Below are 15,964 nucleotides of genomic sequence, written 5' to 3'. Positions count from 1 at the left end.
CGCCGAGATTGTGCCACTGCACTCCAGCCTGGGTGACAGAGCGAGACTCTGTCTCAAAAAAAAAAAAAAAAGCTGTAAGAAAAAATGTAAATTTTTTTATACAGTGCAGACAATATGAATTTGAATTGCAAATTCATTCTAGGCTCAGTTTTTGGTTATAATTTCTCAGATACTTTTCTTAAGCCCCTGTCATGTTCAGCCCTGAGGTATTCTTCTTTCCAGTTTCCAGTCCTCTGGAAATGGGGTTTATATAAGATGGGGGTAAGCAGAGTAGACAAGTTACTAATATTTTCTCACATGTTTCAATAGAACGCCACCCAAAAAGGAAATATGAAATAAGCATCCAATAAAATATATATCCATAATAATAGTTGATTAATGACATTAATCAATTTCCTGGTATTATACAGTATTAAAATGATTTCATGAGGAGAAAGTGGGGAACAAACATTCTCAATAGAAACTTTCTGGGTTAGCTAAGGTAATGATTTAAAATAATAAAATAAATTCACCTAACAGAGCTCTAAATTTATGAAATTAACATATTTATTATGGGAATAAATACATTAAGTGAAGAATTTTTATATATTTAAGTTTATTTACTTAGATTCTGAATTGGATATTTTAATGAAATTACTTCATCTAAAGATGCCCCTTTCCATCAGAGGGTTTAAAACTATTTTTTTAAATGACAGTAACATAATGTTTTACAAGTAAGCTGTCTGCATCAATCTATTTCTGCTCAAAGCAAGACACACGCCATAAAAAAAATCAAGAATCAACAATGCAAAGGTTTTAAAGTATTTCCATTTTTCAGATCTTAGTCTAAAATACTTATGGGTATTTAGCAGTACAGATGGCTCAAAAGGATAAATATTTGTAGCTTAACATTTTAAATAGAGACTATACCCTTTATAATAAAGTAACTTTATAATAGAATGACTTCTGTGACAACAGACTGTTCTTATGTAACTATTTTAGGGTAAGAAGAAAGTCTGTTTTGATTTAACATTTTAAACTGAAACAGAAAAGACAGTTTTAAATTAACAGTGTTTTAATTTTTAACTTGAATTTTAGGATACTCTTTTGGGGTAACCGTTCAAGAATGAATATAGAAAGCCTAACAATTGGTTTCCTATCACTACTACTGCTCCAATGTACCTTTCAAAATTTGCTGTAGTCTTATGAAAGTCAGCTGTATTTTTCAGGCAAATTTTACCATTTTACATGTTCCCTGGAGGATTAGGAGTCACTTGGCTATGGTGAGGGCAGCCAAAGAGTTCTAATTCTACTTTTGGGTAAAGTGACAGCAAATTCAGAGAAGAGTTCTAAAGTGTGTAACTTGCTCTAACTTGAGTCAGCACAGAATCCTGTGCTGTCATTCAAAATATTTAATGAATTGCTTTTTTTTGTACTATAGCAGACCAACATATTCAGTTAAGGTCACTTCTAGCATACCACATCTAAAAAGTGTGAATATAATACACATTTTTAAAGACTTATTTAAGCACACGGTTGGCTGGTTGGAAACTAAAAGAATTCATAAAGGCTGTAAGCAAAAAAGAATCATAAATCCAGAAAAGGAAAGAGTTCTGGGGCCAGTATTTGCTGGACTCTGGTGGTATCTGCTGATGTGTGGCCTACAGCCTTGGTATTAAAGAGCCCAGTGCTTAAAAGCCAGGCTTTCAGAGTTCAATATGGATGTGAAGTCATATCACATAAAATTCAGATGCAGTCAGTAACACCCAAAAGGATAAACTAAGAAAAACAACCAAAACTCCAAAAAGGGAGTTGAAAGAGATACATGCCTGTCTACCTTGGATTGGGTAGAATATGAAAAGAAAAAAAAAGAAAAAGGGGCTTCCCTGAGAATTAATAACCACAAATCCACATTTGTGCAGGGTTATGGCCTGAATCCACACCACCCCAAAATTGAAAGTGGTTTCACATTGACAGTATCCCATGTGCATGGGAGAATCAAATTTCTCCATGAAGGAATGAACTCCATTCACTCAAAAGCCCGAAAGAGGGGAAAGGGAAGGGGAAAAAGAAAGAGGAAGGGAGAACAGGAAGAGGAAGGGGAAGGGAAAGGGGATACTACCACAAAAAGTATATGTAGAAACGACGAACTACAGAACCAGACCTAAAAATACTGTAAATATTAGAATTATTAGAAAACATTAATATGTTTAATATGCCTAGAAAAGTACAAAATGTAAGAAAACTTACTAGGCAGATTTGAAAATAACCAACCAGGGTTCCCATGAATGAAACATATAATAATTTTAGGACTGGAGAAACAAACTCAGAAGACTGTAGGAGATCAGATACAGATGAAAGGAAAATTCATAAACTGGAAGACAGGTCTCAAGAAGTGATATAGAATTCAGCAAAGAGAGATAAAAAGAAAGAAAATAAGAAACAGAGGTTAAGAGATGTGGAGAATGGTTGAGATAATTCAAAACACTGCAGAAGTTTCAGAAGAGGCTAACAGAAAATGAAGTGCAAATAGAAAATATCTTTGTATGGGTTCCAGAAATTTCTTTATAATTACAAGGCACACAGGCAAGAAAACAGTCAAAATAGGCCAGGCACAGTGGCTCACGTATGTAATCCCTGCACTTTAGGAGGCCGAGGCGGGTGGATAACCTGAGGTCAGGAGTTCAGGTTATCATCAGCCTGTACAACATGATGAAACCCCGTCTGTACTAAAAATACAAAAAATTAGCTGGGTGTGGTGGTGCTCACCTGTAATCCCAGCTACTCAGGAGGCTGAGGCAGGAGAATCACTTGAACCCAGGAGGCGGAAGCTGCAGTGAGCCGAGATTGCACCACTGCACTCCAGCCCGGGCAACAAGAGCAAAACTCCATCTCAAAAAAAAAAAAAGAAAAAAAAAAGAAAGAAAACAGTTAAAATAAAAAATTCAATGAAAATCTAACTCGGTAGTACTTAACTTCTATAGATTATCAAGTTGTAGGTGACCAAAATACAATTTTAACTATGTGAAACACTAAAACAATCTTCACTGATTCTCTATTATGGAAATAAGACTACCAAATATACTCAAATTTAATGATCCAGCAAATGACATGAAAAACTTGCATGAATAATAGGGACTAAGAATTTAAAAAAAAAAGTAACCTTCAGTGTTTATTTACAGTAATAAAATCCACAATATAGTAGATCTTTGTTCCTTTGTCACTCCATCCAACTAACTTTCTTAAGTTGAAAATAATACATTAGTCATTGCCATAAAAAGCCTTTAGCTTCTTCAGGCACCATCCAGTTAGCTGTGTAACCTAGCAAAATATCTAATTTTTTTGACCTTTGGTTCCCTGTCTATAAAATGGGAAGATCATCATTATATATCTTAAGATTGCTATAAGTATTAAACAAGAAATAAAAATAATGTCTATAACATAGTAGGTACCCAGTAAATATTATTTCTCTTTCTCTATGCTTCTATAGTATAGTCTCCCACTTATCATAAACATAAATTTCTTCTAGAGAGTCTGTTGAAGACCAGATCTCCAGAAAGATGCTATTAACAATAAAATGATATTTGAATCATAAAAATAAAATAAAATAAAATTTGGCTATATCAGAAGTTCTCAAACTTTCTCAGTTCAAGGTGCTCTGGGTGTCTCAATAATGTTTTCATGGCACCCAGTAAAAGAAGTATCTAATAGTTCTGTTTATTAAGTAGTAAGGTCCAAACAACTTAAGTTTTATATCCTAACAAATTAGTAGCTGTTAAATAATAGATACAAATTGAAAGTAAAAACATATTAATTTTAAATAATTATTAATAGTAACTACAATTACTTACTAATGGGATGGGTACAACTATTGGGCCCTGTACATATCCTAAACCTTTGAATCATATTGGATACTGTTGCCCTCCTTTCCTCTTCCACAATAATTTTCCTGTAGTACTTGCTTTTTCTCACAGTTAACTGTGCAAAACCCAGCTTCATAAAGATGTGACATCATCAAAGGTACAATCTAACACTGAAACTGCGAACTACCTTGAGATAGTACTTTACATAGTATCTGACAGATGTTGCTGGTTTCCCTCAAAATTTAAAAAAAGCCTATGGTATCCCTAAGAGTTTTCTATGGCAGTCTGGGGTACCCTGGTGCACAGTTTGGGAGGTGTGGGTCTTAATTATGGCTTTTGTAAAGAATAACTACTAAGACTTGTTGGTTTTCATGGATTTTAATAATGCATTTCACTCAATTTCTATACCAGATCTCCAATTACTTACTCCATTTAGAATTCATGTTGAACATTAGTGTCCTTTAAGCTAGACAGCTTGCCTAACACAACACTGAACATAGTAAATAGTGAATTTCAGTATTAAATGTAAATTATCTGTTGAACTGAATTAACAACTTTAGACTTTATAAGTGTGTATGAGTCCTTATCCTTTACTTTATACCTTTAAAAGTAAGCTATTTTCAGCTATAATATAAAATACTCACTTACTGAGTGAATACGGATTATGGTTTTCAGAAATCATCAACTGTCAATTATTAATTTATATGGAGACTACATAAATGTTTGCTATGATTATGATCCTTCATTATAGTTCAGACTTTACTAAGAAGACTGGGGAAATATCCACATAAAAAGTATTTTTACTGAGCACCTAAGTGCCAACAAAGATAGCTACAACAAAGATAAATGGAATGAATTCATAGCTTTCACAGAACTTAAGGAGATAAAATTAAATGAGGGAGAAAATAAGTTAATACAATAACTTGAGGTCACTTTAGACAAGGTTATTGGAGAAGGCCTATCTGAAGAGGTGATCTGATTTTAACATCGATGAGCCAAATAAGTAAAAAACTGGAGAAAAACATTCTAGGTACAGGACAGCAAAAACTGAAAGGCACCAAAATAGTATGGAGCTTGGTTTATTCTTGCAATGAAAAGGCAGCCAGCATAGCTTGTAGGAAGAGAGTGAGGAGAAAAATAAATAAATAATAAAATGGTGATGAGATGAGATTGGAGAGAAGGTCAGGAACCAGGGTCTAGTAGCCTATCCTGAATAAACTGGACTTCATTCTGAATGTTATAGAGAGCCACCAAGGTTTTAAGAAGAAAAATGTCATGGTCTGATTTACGGTTAATAAAAGGTTTCTCTGGCTGCTATATAGAGAATGGATTAAAGGATGACAGGAATGGAAACAGATATTTAGAAATACTGCAAGTTCAAGTTAGAGATGATGTTGGCTTAAACCAGGGTGATGGTAGAATAGATAATATAGTTGGATTTGATGTTATTTTGGAGAAGGAGCTAATGGGATTTGGTAATGGACTAGACTGAAGAGGGATGGTGGCAATGGCGGTGGTGATGAAGGAAAAATACTAAAAAACCAAGAATATTTCTCAGGTTTGGGATTCAGCTACAATATCTTTGGCAATTTTCATCCAAAATACCTCCTGAACTATGTCTCTTCTGTGCATGAGACTTAATAGATTATTTCAGTCTTTACAAAACTTTATCCTTAATTCTGGTATAGTTATTTCAGCCTTAATTATATACAAATTAGAGTGCTTATTTGATAGATATGTGCCTTCCCCACTTAACTACCAAGAGATCAGGAATTATGTTAGTCTTTGATAAATAAAGTTAATTGTTCAAAAATTTTAATATATCAGTAAATAAAGGAATATTTAGAAAGACATAAAGTGGATAATCAGTAGATCTATAGCAACATAATGAAGAGAAACTAGCATAAGAAATAGAAGCTTAAAACTGAGTGAAAATTAGCATTTGTAATCAAAATTCATATATTTTATTGGATTTATATAAATAGATGTTAGTTCTCATCTTACCTGAAAATGGCTCTTAAGCTCAGGGAAGGAATAAATATTATGAATTCTAATAAGAAATGCTAGGTGTCTGTATTAGTCTGTTTTCAGACTGTTATAAAGATATACTTGAGACAGGGTAATTTACAAAAAAAAAAAAAGAGGTTTAATTAACTCACATTTCCGCATGGTTGGGGAAGCCTCAGGAAACTTACAATCATGGTGGAGGGGGAGGCAGGCATGTCTTATGTGGCGACAAGCAAGAGAGACCTAGCACAAGCAGGGAAAACTGCCTTAAACCATCAGATCTCATGAGAACTCACTGATTATTACTGAATAGCATGAGGAAAACTGCCCCCATGATCCAATCATCTCCTTCCCTGGACACATGGAGATTACAGCTCCCTCCCTTGACTCATGGGGATCACAATTCAAGATGTGATATGGGTGGGGACCCAGAGCCGAACTGTATCATTCCACCCCTGGCCTCACCCAAATCTCATCTCTTTTCACATTTCAAAACCAATCATGCCTTCCCAACAGTCCCCCAAAGTCTTAACTCATTTCAGCATTAATTCAAAAGTCTACAGTCCAAAGTGTCATCTGAGACAGGCAAGTCCCTTCTGCCTATAAGCAGGTAAAATAAAAAACAAGGCCAGATGCGGTGGCTCATTCCTGTAACCCCAGCAATTTGGGAGGCCGAGGGGGGTGGATCACGAGGTCAGGAGTTCAAGAGCAGCCTGGCCAATGTGGTGAATCCCCGTCTCTACTAAAAATACAAAAATTAGCCAGGTGTGGTAGTGCGTGCCTGTAGTACCAGCTACATGGGAGGCTGAGGCAGAAGAATCGCTTGAACCGGGGAGGCGGAGGTTGCAGTGAGTCGAGATTGTGCCATTGCACTCCAGCCTGGGCGAAAGAGCAACACTGCATCTCAAAAAGGACCCAAGCTAGTTACTTTTAAGTTACAATGGTGGCACAGGCATTTGGTAACTACACCGATTCTAAATGGGAGAAACTGGCCAAAACAAAGGGGCTACAGGCCCCATGCAAGTTCTAAATCCATTGGGGCAGTCACTCAATTTGAAAGCTTATCTCCTCTGACTCCAAGTCTCATATCCAGGGTACGCTGATGCAATGGGTGGGCTCCCACAGCCTTGGGCAGCTTTGGTGAATGGGCTGGCATTGAGTACCTGTGGCTTTTCTAGGCTCATGGTACTGGTTGTCAGTGTTCTACCATTCTGGGGTCTGGAGGGTGGTGGTCCTCTTCTCACATAGCTCCACTAGGCAGTGCCCCAGTGGGGACTCTGTGTGGGGGCTCCAAAGCCACATTTCCCTTCTGCACTGCCCTTGTACAAGTTCTCTGTGAGGGCTCTGCCCCTAAACCCGACTTCTGCCTGGACATCCAGGTGTTTCCATACATCCTCTGAAATCTAGGTGGAGGTTCCTAAAACTCAATTCTTGACTTCTGTGCACCCTCAGGCCCAACACCACATGGAAGCCACTAAGGCTTGGGGCTTGCACCCTCTGAAGCAATGGACCAAACTGTACCTTGGCCCCTTTTAGCCATGGCTGGAGCTGAAGCAGCTGGAACACAAGGCACCATGTCCCAAGGCTGCACAGAGCAGAGGGGCTCAGGGCCCAGCCCACGAAACCATTTTTTCTTCCTAGGCCACTGGGCCTGTGATGGGAGGGGTGGCCACCAAGATCTCTGACATGCCCTGGTGACATTTTTCCCCACTGTCTTGGCTATTCACATTCCACTCCTCATTACTTATGAAAATTTCTACAATGGGCTTCAATTTCTCCCCATAAAATTGATTTTTCTTTTCTATCACATTGTCAGGCTGCAAATTTTCCAAACTTTTATGCTCTGCTTCCCTTTTAAACATAAGTTCCAATTTCAGATCATCTCCCTCAAGTTCAAAGTTCCACAGATTTCTAGGGCAGGGGCAAAATGCCACTAGTCTCTTTGCTAAAGCAAGGCAGGAGTGACCTTTGCTCCAGTTACCAAGAAGTTCCTCATCTCCATCTGAGATCACCTCAGCCTGGACTTCATTGGCCACCTCATTGTCAGCATTTTAGTAAAAACCATTCAGCAAGTCTCCGGGAAGTTCCAAACTTTCCCACATTTTCCTGTCTTCTTTTGAGCCCTACAAACTATTCCAATCCCTGCCTGTTACCCAGTTCCAAAGTCACAACCACCTTTTTGGGTATCTCTATAGCAGTACCTCACTCACCACTTTACCAGTTTACTGTATTAGTCTGTTCTCACACTGCTATAAAGAACTACCCAAGACTGGGTAATTTATAAAGAAAAGAGGTTTAATTGACTCACATGTCCATGTGGCTGGGGAGGCCTCAAGAAACTTAAAATCATGGCAGAAGGGGAAGCTGGCATGTCTTACATGGCGGTAGGCAAGAGAGAGCCAGCAAGAGCAGGCAAAACTGCCTTATCAAACCATCAGATCTCGTGAGAACTCACTATCACGAGAACAGCATGGGAAACCACCCACATTATCCAATCACCTCCATCCCTTGACACATGAAGATTACAGGTCCTTCCCTTGACACATGGGGATTACAATTTGAGGTAAGATTTAGGTAGGGGCACAGAGCCAAACCATATCAGTGTCTGACACAGAAAACATGTATTCCACATATATATTTACTGAACATTTGATACTTAAAATATGTAGTATGTTCAAAATTAAACCATTAAATATTCCTCTCAAGGAGCTTTCAATTAGCTGATAAGTATTATGATTTGTATATCTGAATCAGTACTATTTAGTACAACTTAGCTAAAATACATAATTCCACAGATCAAGATGCCTTGAACATAGTGTTTAAAAAACGATGTATAACTATTTTAATATTACTTTTCTTCATTTAAGCTTTATGTTTTACAAATAAGCACTGGCATATTAACTTTTTTGTCTATCCACATATCACCCTACCCCAACATTTTAGTAAAAAAAATATGAGAACTTTTATTTCTGACCAAGAAGGAATAAAGATACTGGATTTTCCCTATTTTCTAAAACACCTAAAAAAGTCAGAAGATATATATATCAACAGCTTGGTATTCAAACGATTAAACTCAAGAGTAAAGATAGTGATTCCAGAGAGACAGGAAACAAATAGGTGAGCCTGATTTTCAAAGGCTTGAGTGAGTTTCCTGGAGGCTGACACAAAAGGAAGAACCCACATGGAGCCTAGCAGACTCTAAGGACACTGAGTCCACGGAAACCACGTTTAAGCACAACCCTGAATCCTATGATGAATTCCTAGTAACTTCTTGTACCAAAATACCTTAGCTCCTTGCACAGCCTCCCTATGCATTGCAGCAAGCTAAATGAATCTAACTTTGACTACCACAATACAGTATAGTTACCATATTATATAAAGTTGTTGTTGTTTCCATTAATTTAACCAAGAGTAGACAAAGCATATGGCTATCCTGATTATCACTGCCTGGTAGGCATTGATAAATGAAAGTCCTGGAAGAATATTAAATGAGTTTTCACTGCTTTATACAATCATAGTGGGAGATCAGATCAGAACTAGTGTAACTGAAAAAATTTTCTACCAGTATCCATGGTTCCACACAAAAAATGGGAATTACTACTCTTCTTTCTGACAACCCATTGACTATCAGTGCCCACAAAAGTCATAACCTTTATTTTCAACGTATTCCACCTTCACTGTTGCTACTGTTGCTAAATTAATCTATTTTAAATTAAATGCAAATTGAATCATATTAAACCACATTCAGATTTTCATATCAAGTTAATATATATACAAAAAATAATGATCTCTGATGTTATGTTTGATGGATTTTGACAATTTTATGTAATTGTGAAACTGCCACCCAAGCAACATATAGACTATTTCCATCATCCAAGAAAGATCTCAAATTTCCCTTTCTAGTAAATTCCCTCTACCTCAGGCAACTACTCGTAGATCGCTATAACCAAAATTTTGATTATATAATCTTTGAATTATATGACTTATCCAGCTTGTTTTGCTTTTTAGGGTGAAACTGCAACTTTCTACACACAAACTAGATCTTCGTTCATGATTTTTGGACAGACAGAGGGTGAACATCCCTTATCTGAAATACTTTGGACTAGAAGTTTTTCCAAATTTCAACTTTTTTTGGATTTTGGAATATATGCATACATATATAATGAGATATCCTGGGGATATGTATTAGTCCATTTTCACGCTGCTGATAAAGACATACCCGAGACAGGGCAATTTACAAAATAAAGAGGTTTAATGGACTTACAGTTTGATGTGGCTGGGGAGGCCTCACAATCATGGTGGAAGGCAAGGAGGAGCAAGCCATGTTTTATATGTGGATGGGAGCAGGCCAAGAGAGAGCCTGTGCAGGGAAACTCCTGTTTTTAAAACCATCAGATCAGCTGAGACTTATTCACTATCACAAGAACAGCATTGGAAAGACTCAACCCCATTATTCAATTACCTCCCACCAGGTTCCTCCCACAATATGTGGGAATTGAGGGAGTTAAAATTCAAGATGAGATCTGGGTGGGGACACAGCCAAACCATATCATTCCACCCCGACCCCTCCTAAATCTCATGTCCTCACATTTCAAAACTAATCATGCCTTCCCAACAGTCACCCAAAGTCTTAACTCACTTCAGCATTAACTCAAAAGTTCACAGCCCAAAGTCTCATCTGAGATAAGGCAAGTCCCTTTTACCTATGAGCCAGTAAAATCAAAAGCAATTTAGTTACTTCCTAGATACAATGAGGGTACAGGTAAATACAGCCCTTACAAATGGGAGAAATTGGCCAAAACAAAGGGGCTAAAGCCCCCACGCAAGTCTGAAAGCCAGCAAGGCAGTCAAATCTTACGTCAAATCAAATGATCTCCTTTGACTCCAGGTCTCACATTCAGGTAATGCTGATGCAAAAGGTGGGTTCCTATGGTCTTGGGTAGCTCCGACCCTGTGGCTTTGCAGGGTACAGCCTCCCTCCTGGCTGCTGCCATGGGCTGGCATTGAGTGTGCACTGCTTTTCCAGGTGCACAGTATAAGCTATCAGTGGATCTACTATTCTGAAGTCTGGAGGACAATGATCCTCTTCTCACAGCTCCACTAGGCCGTGCCCCAGTAGGGACTCTGTGTGGGGGCTCCAACCCCTCATTTCTCTTCTGCACTGCCCTAGCAGAGATTCTCCATGAGAGCCCCACCCCTGCAGCAAACTTCTGCTTGGACATCCAGGCATTTCCATCCATCCTCTGAAATCTAGGCAGAGGTTCCCAAACCCCAATTCTTGACTTCTGTGCACTCGCAGGCTCAACATCATGTAGAAGCTGCCAAGGCTTGGGGCTTGCACCCTCTGAAGCCACATCCCAAGCTTTACCTTGGCCCCTGTTAGCCATGGCTAAAGTGGTTGGAACACAGGGCACCAAGTCCCTAGACTGCACACAATACAGGGACCATGGGCCTAGCCCGTGAAACCATTTTTCCTCCTATGCCTCTGGGCCTGTGATGAAAGGGGCTGCCTCGAAGACCTCCTACATGCCCTGGTGACATTTTCCCCATTGTATTGGGGATTAACATTTGGCTCCTTATTACTTATGCATGTATCTGCAGCCAGCTTGAATTTCTCCTCAGAAAATGGGATTTTCTTTTCTATCGCATTGTCAGGCTATAAATTTTCCAAACTTTTATGTTCTGTTTCCCTTTTAAAACTGAATGCCTTTAACAGCACCCAAGTCACCTCTTGAATGCTTTACTGTTTAGAAATCAATTGTGCCAGATACCCTAATCATCTTTCTCAAGTTCAAAGTTCCACAAATCTCTAGGGCAGGGGCAAGTCTCTTTGCTAAAACATAACAAGTGTCACCTTTTCTCCAGTTCCCAACAAGTACTTCATCTCCATCTGAGACCAACTCAGTCTGGATTTCATTGTCCATATCATTATCAGTATTTTGGTGAAAGCCACTCAACGAGTCTCTAGGGACTTCCAAACTTTCCCACATTTTCCTGTCTTCTTCTGAGCCCTCCAAACTGTTCCAACCTCTGCCTGTTACCCAGTTCCAAAGTCACTTCCACATTTTTGGGTATCTTTTCAGCAGCACCCCACACTACTGGTACCAATTTACTGCATTAGTCCATTTTCATGCTGTTGATAAAGACATACCTGAGACTGGGCAATTTACAAAAGAAAGAGATTTAATGGACTTAAGAGTTCCACGTGGCTGGGGAGGCCTCACAATCATGGTAGAAGGCATGGAGGAGCAAGTCACGTCTTACTAAGATGGCAGCAGGCCAAGAGTGAGCTTGTGCAGGGAAATTCCCGTTTTAAAAACCATCAGATCTTGTGAGACTTATCTACTTTCACTAGAACAGCATGGGAGAGACCAGCCACCATGATTCAATTATGTCTCACCAGGTTCCTCCTATGACATGTGGGAATTGTGGGAGTTACAATTCAAGATGAGATTTGAGGGGGGACACAGCCAAATCATATAAGACTAAAGTCTAAACACAAAATTCATTTATGTTTCATATATACCTTATATTCGTAGCATAAAGATGATTTTTATACAATATTTTAAAATAATTTTGTGCTTGAAATAAAGTTTTGATTGCAATTCACTGCATGAGGTCAGGTGTGCAATTTTTCACCTGTGGCATCATGGCAGCACTCAAAAATTTCAGATTTTAGAGAATTTCAGATTTCAGATTTTCAGATGAGGGAGGGTCAATCTGTGTATCTTTAAATTGTTTGTAATACTTGTGTGCAAATACAGACTTTGTTATTCTGATAACTGCTTTTATGAAATATTTGAATACATATGAGGCAATATGCTATATAAATGCAAAATAATAATAGTCTAAAATCATCATATCATCAATCAGTACTCTGACTATTCATTTTCCAGCTATTAATAGTAAAGGGATCTTAAACATCCCTAGAAGAAGACTGCTCTAGCAAATGCAATTAAATACAGAAAAATATTAAAAGGATTCATAAATGAGTTGATTTGCTTCTCAAAATAGTAAAATATACTAGACTTTTATCAGAACACATCTTTATAATGCCACCATATTTTAATTTTAATTTGTTTTAAATTTAATTAATTTCTGCCTTTTTTAAATTTCAAAATGCTTCTACTTTTGCTATTATGCTACTGCTGACAGCATCCTGAGAGGTGGAAGTGTAAATTATTCCACATTTTTCTGAAATAAAGCTAAAAGGAAAGTACAGTAGTACATGTTTATAAATAGTGTATTTTTATTAATTTGAACGGGAGTAGATAAGGCATATGATTTGCCTTGCAAAAAAGTGTTTACTTTTTGGCACTATTTGTTAATTTATGCATTCTAATTTTAAAATGTGTTAGCAGTAGCTGTTACTTATATTTCTTTCAGTCAACAATTAGTCTTTGTTTCATCTTTTTGGATCTCAGAACCCAGAAGAAACTGATTTAGAGATTATGAAAATAACAATTACTATGCTAAGGACCAGATTTATCATCATGGTACAATACAAACATCAAAGTATAGTAACAATTTGGATAGTCAGTAAGTTATCAGTTTTTTACTGATTTTTTCAATACCAGGCATGCATACATGACTATCTTGTGACTCTGTGTTAAACATTCAAAACAGAAATATTTTCTTGTTAAAAAAGCTGAAGCATTAGTGGAATTTTAATTGAATACACAAAAACTGGATTCAGTATTCTGTATTTTCATAGGAAGGGGGCAACTAAAACTATCTGTCACCAGCTTGACCAACATGGTAAAACCCTGTCTCTATGAAAAATACAAAAATTAGCCAGGCGTGGTGGCGTGCACCTGTAATCCCAGCTACTCAGGAGGCTGAGGCAGGAGAATTGCTTGAACCCAGGAGGCGGAGGTTTCAGTGAGCCGAGATTGTGCCACTGCACTCCAGACTGGGCAACAGAGCAAGACACTGTCAAAAAACAAACAAAACAAACAAACAAACAAAAACACTATCTGTCCTGTCCTCACTTGAAAAACATTATTTACAAGGCTCTTACTGCTACATAAAACATACTGTTTTCCAGTGAGGGCAACAAATATGAAGGGAAAAAAAGATTAGAACTAAATAAAGACCTATCTATATCAAGACTGAAGAAAGCAATTACATACACCTTAAACTTGACAGGTGTCCAACATTTCAGCTTGGCAGATGTGTTAATCAGGTAGGGCTGCTGTAATAAAATACATACACTGGGTGGATTACATAACAAAAGTCCAATATCAGGGTGCCAGCATGGCCAGGTTTTGATGAGGGCTTTCTTCCTGGCTCAAAGACAGCCATCTTCTTGCAGTGTTGTCATGAGGAAGAGAAGGAGGTGAGTCTGTATTCTTGTTATAAGGCCACCGTCCTATTGCATTAAGACTGTGGCCCTATAAGAAGAGCCACACTTTTATGATCTCATGTAACCTTAATTACCTCCTAAAGACCAGACACAGTCACACTGGCAATCAGTGCATCAACATATAAATTTGGAGGAGACACAATTCAGTTCAAAATTCCAATATCAGGTACCCTGATATTATTTTAGTTCTGGGCCCAGCTTTTTCTCTACGTTCAGGGTATTCAAATACAATTTTTAATATGATAGGGTGAGAATTAAATGCTCTCTTCCTTAAACTTTAGCAACTTTTAACTAATGAAGAGTTCAGTACATGCTATCACAAAATATTCAGTTGGTATACTGAATATTCTAAGCTGAAGGCATGTGAGAAATCACGTGTAGGAAGGACTTAATGGCATTCCTCTGAAGCAGATTTTAAGACTCTCATGTAAGAGGTACCCTACCTATACCTGAAGGAAAGGCACATCCCTTGAATCCTTGATATTCCTCTCTCCAAGCCCCTACCTCCTGCATCCCTCTATCTACCCCTGTTAGACATTTTCCCTTCCCACTCCAGCCCCTCAGTAACTTGAACTTTAGGAATCTCAGTTCTCAAGGGCTTCAGGGGGTCTGCTGAAAAATAAAAAAGAAAGGCTAATTGGAAATAGATTGGGTATTGTATTTTCTCAGACAGAGTTTGGAGAAAACTGAACAGCTGCTAGATGTCTCCTTAGTCACTTGTCTGAAGTTTTGTCCACAGCTGCCATTATACTACTTATGATTGGAAGATCTGAATTTGTTGTGGAAAAAGAAAAATAAAAAAAATTACCTATCAGAAGGGCAATTAAAATCTTAAAAAAAAACCCTCCCCAAATATTGGTGAAAAGCACTGGTCCTCATATTGAGTAGCTAACCTCGATTTGTCCCATATGCCAGAATCACAAATTGAATAAAAGTATAAGCTGGCGAAAAGACAAGATTTTATATAAACCAGTTGAGTTCACATTACTATGTTTTATTGACTCATTGCAGAAATTTTCAAATGAAACCTGTAAGATCTTTATTTGAATCTGTTTGTGTGTGTGTGTGTGTGTGTGTGTGTGTGTGTGTATGTATGCATGACATAGATTTGTGATATTTTTCTATCTCCAGATAGAAAATTATACAAAAGGGCTCCATTTAATTGATGTAAAGAAAAATCAGTGCTTGTATAAACTAGGTATTCCTAAAACTCTCAAAAATATGAAAACTAACCTAATTATTTTAGGTTCATGTGATCTGGGATAATCTTTGGTAAATAAAACTGGTTTAAAGATTGTTGGTAAAATAAAAACAGGAATGTTGTCAGAGTTGTCAGCATTAAACATAATACGACATATAATTGTTTTCCACTTAGGTTTACTCATCAAACAAACTTATGCTATCTCTACCAGATATTTATGAGAATAAAACTATAAATGCAACCTAAGAATCAAATGTACAATAAAAATGAATTGATGTATACACTTTAAAAAGGCAAAAACAAGGTTTTTGTTTATTAGGATTTTTGCTTCTGTGATATTTTAGATACTTGTCTGATTTGTCAACAACAAAATTTAAGAGAATATCTACCTTTGAGCAGTGTCTCATGAAATTTTCATGAGCAATCCAAGCATAATTATTAAAAGTGAATTAAATAGATGAAAGCACGTTAACTTATAAACTTTCATAAATAATATTTATAAAAGGTTATAACCAAAAGGTTAACCTTTTATAACCAAAAGGTTATAAC

The 15,964-nt window shown here is 37.4% G+C and overlaps 1 protein-coding gene and 1 long non-coding RNA gene across 21 annotated transcripts in view; both read right to left on the bottom strand.

The window, feature by feature from the left end:
• The window catches only part of GPHN (gephyrin), a 1,227,209-nt gene that overhangs the window by 996,066 nt on the left and 215,179 nt on the right, over positions 1-15,964 (bottom strand). The window lies entirely within an intron of this gene.
• LOC124903332 (uncharacterized) overlaps positions 1-15,964 on the bottom strand; it is a 32,329-nt gene that overhangs the window by 15,745 nt on the left and 620 nt on the right. Inside the window, exon 2 of the long non-coding RNA XR_007064219.1 lies at positions 1-15,964. This exon is cut by the window's left edge and continues 15,745 nt beyond it. This is a non-coding gene — a long non-coding RNA (uncharacterized LOC124903332).

Source organism: Homo sapiens, chromosome 14, assembly GCF_000001405.40.
Source record: "Homo sapiens chromosome 14, GRCh38.p14 Primary Assembly".
Lineage (NCBI taxonomy): Eukaryota > Metazoa > Chordata > Mammalia > Primates > Hominidae > Homo > Homo sapiens.
The sequence above is the reverse complement of the archived record's forward strand: the minus strand, read 5'-3'. Positions and strand labels throughout refer to the sequence as shown.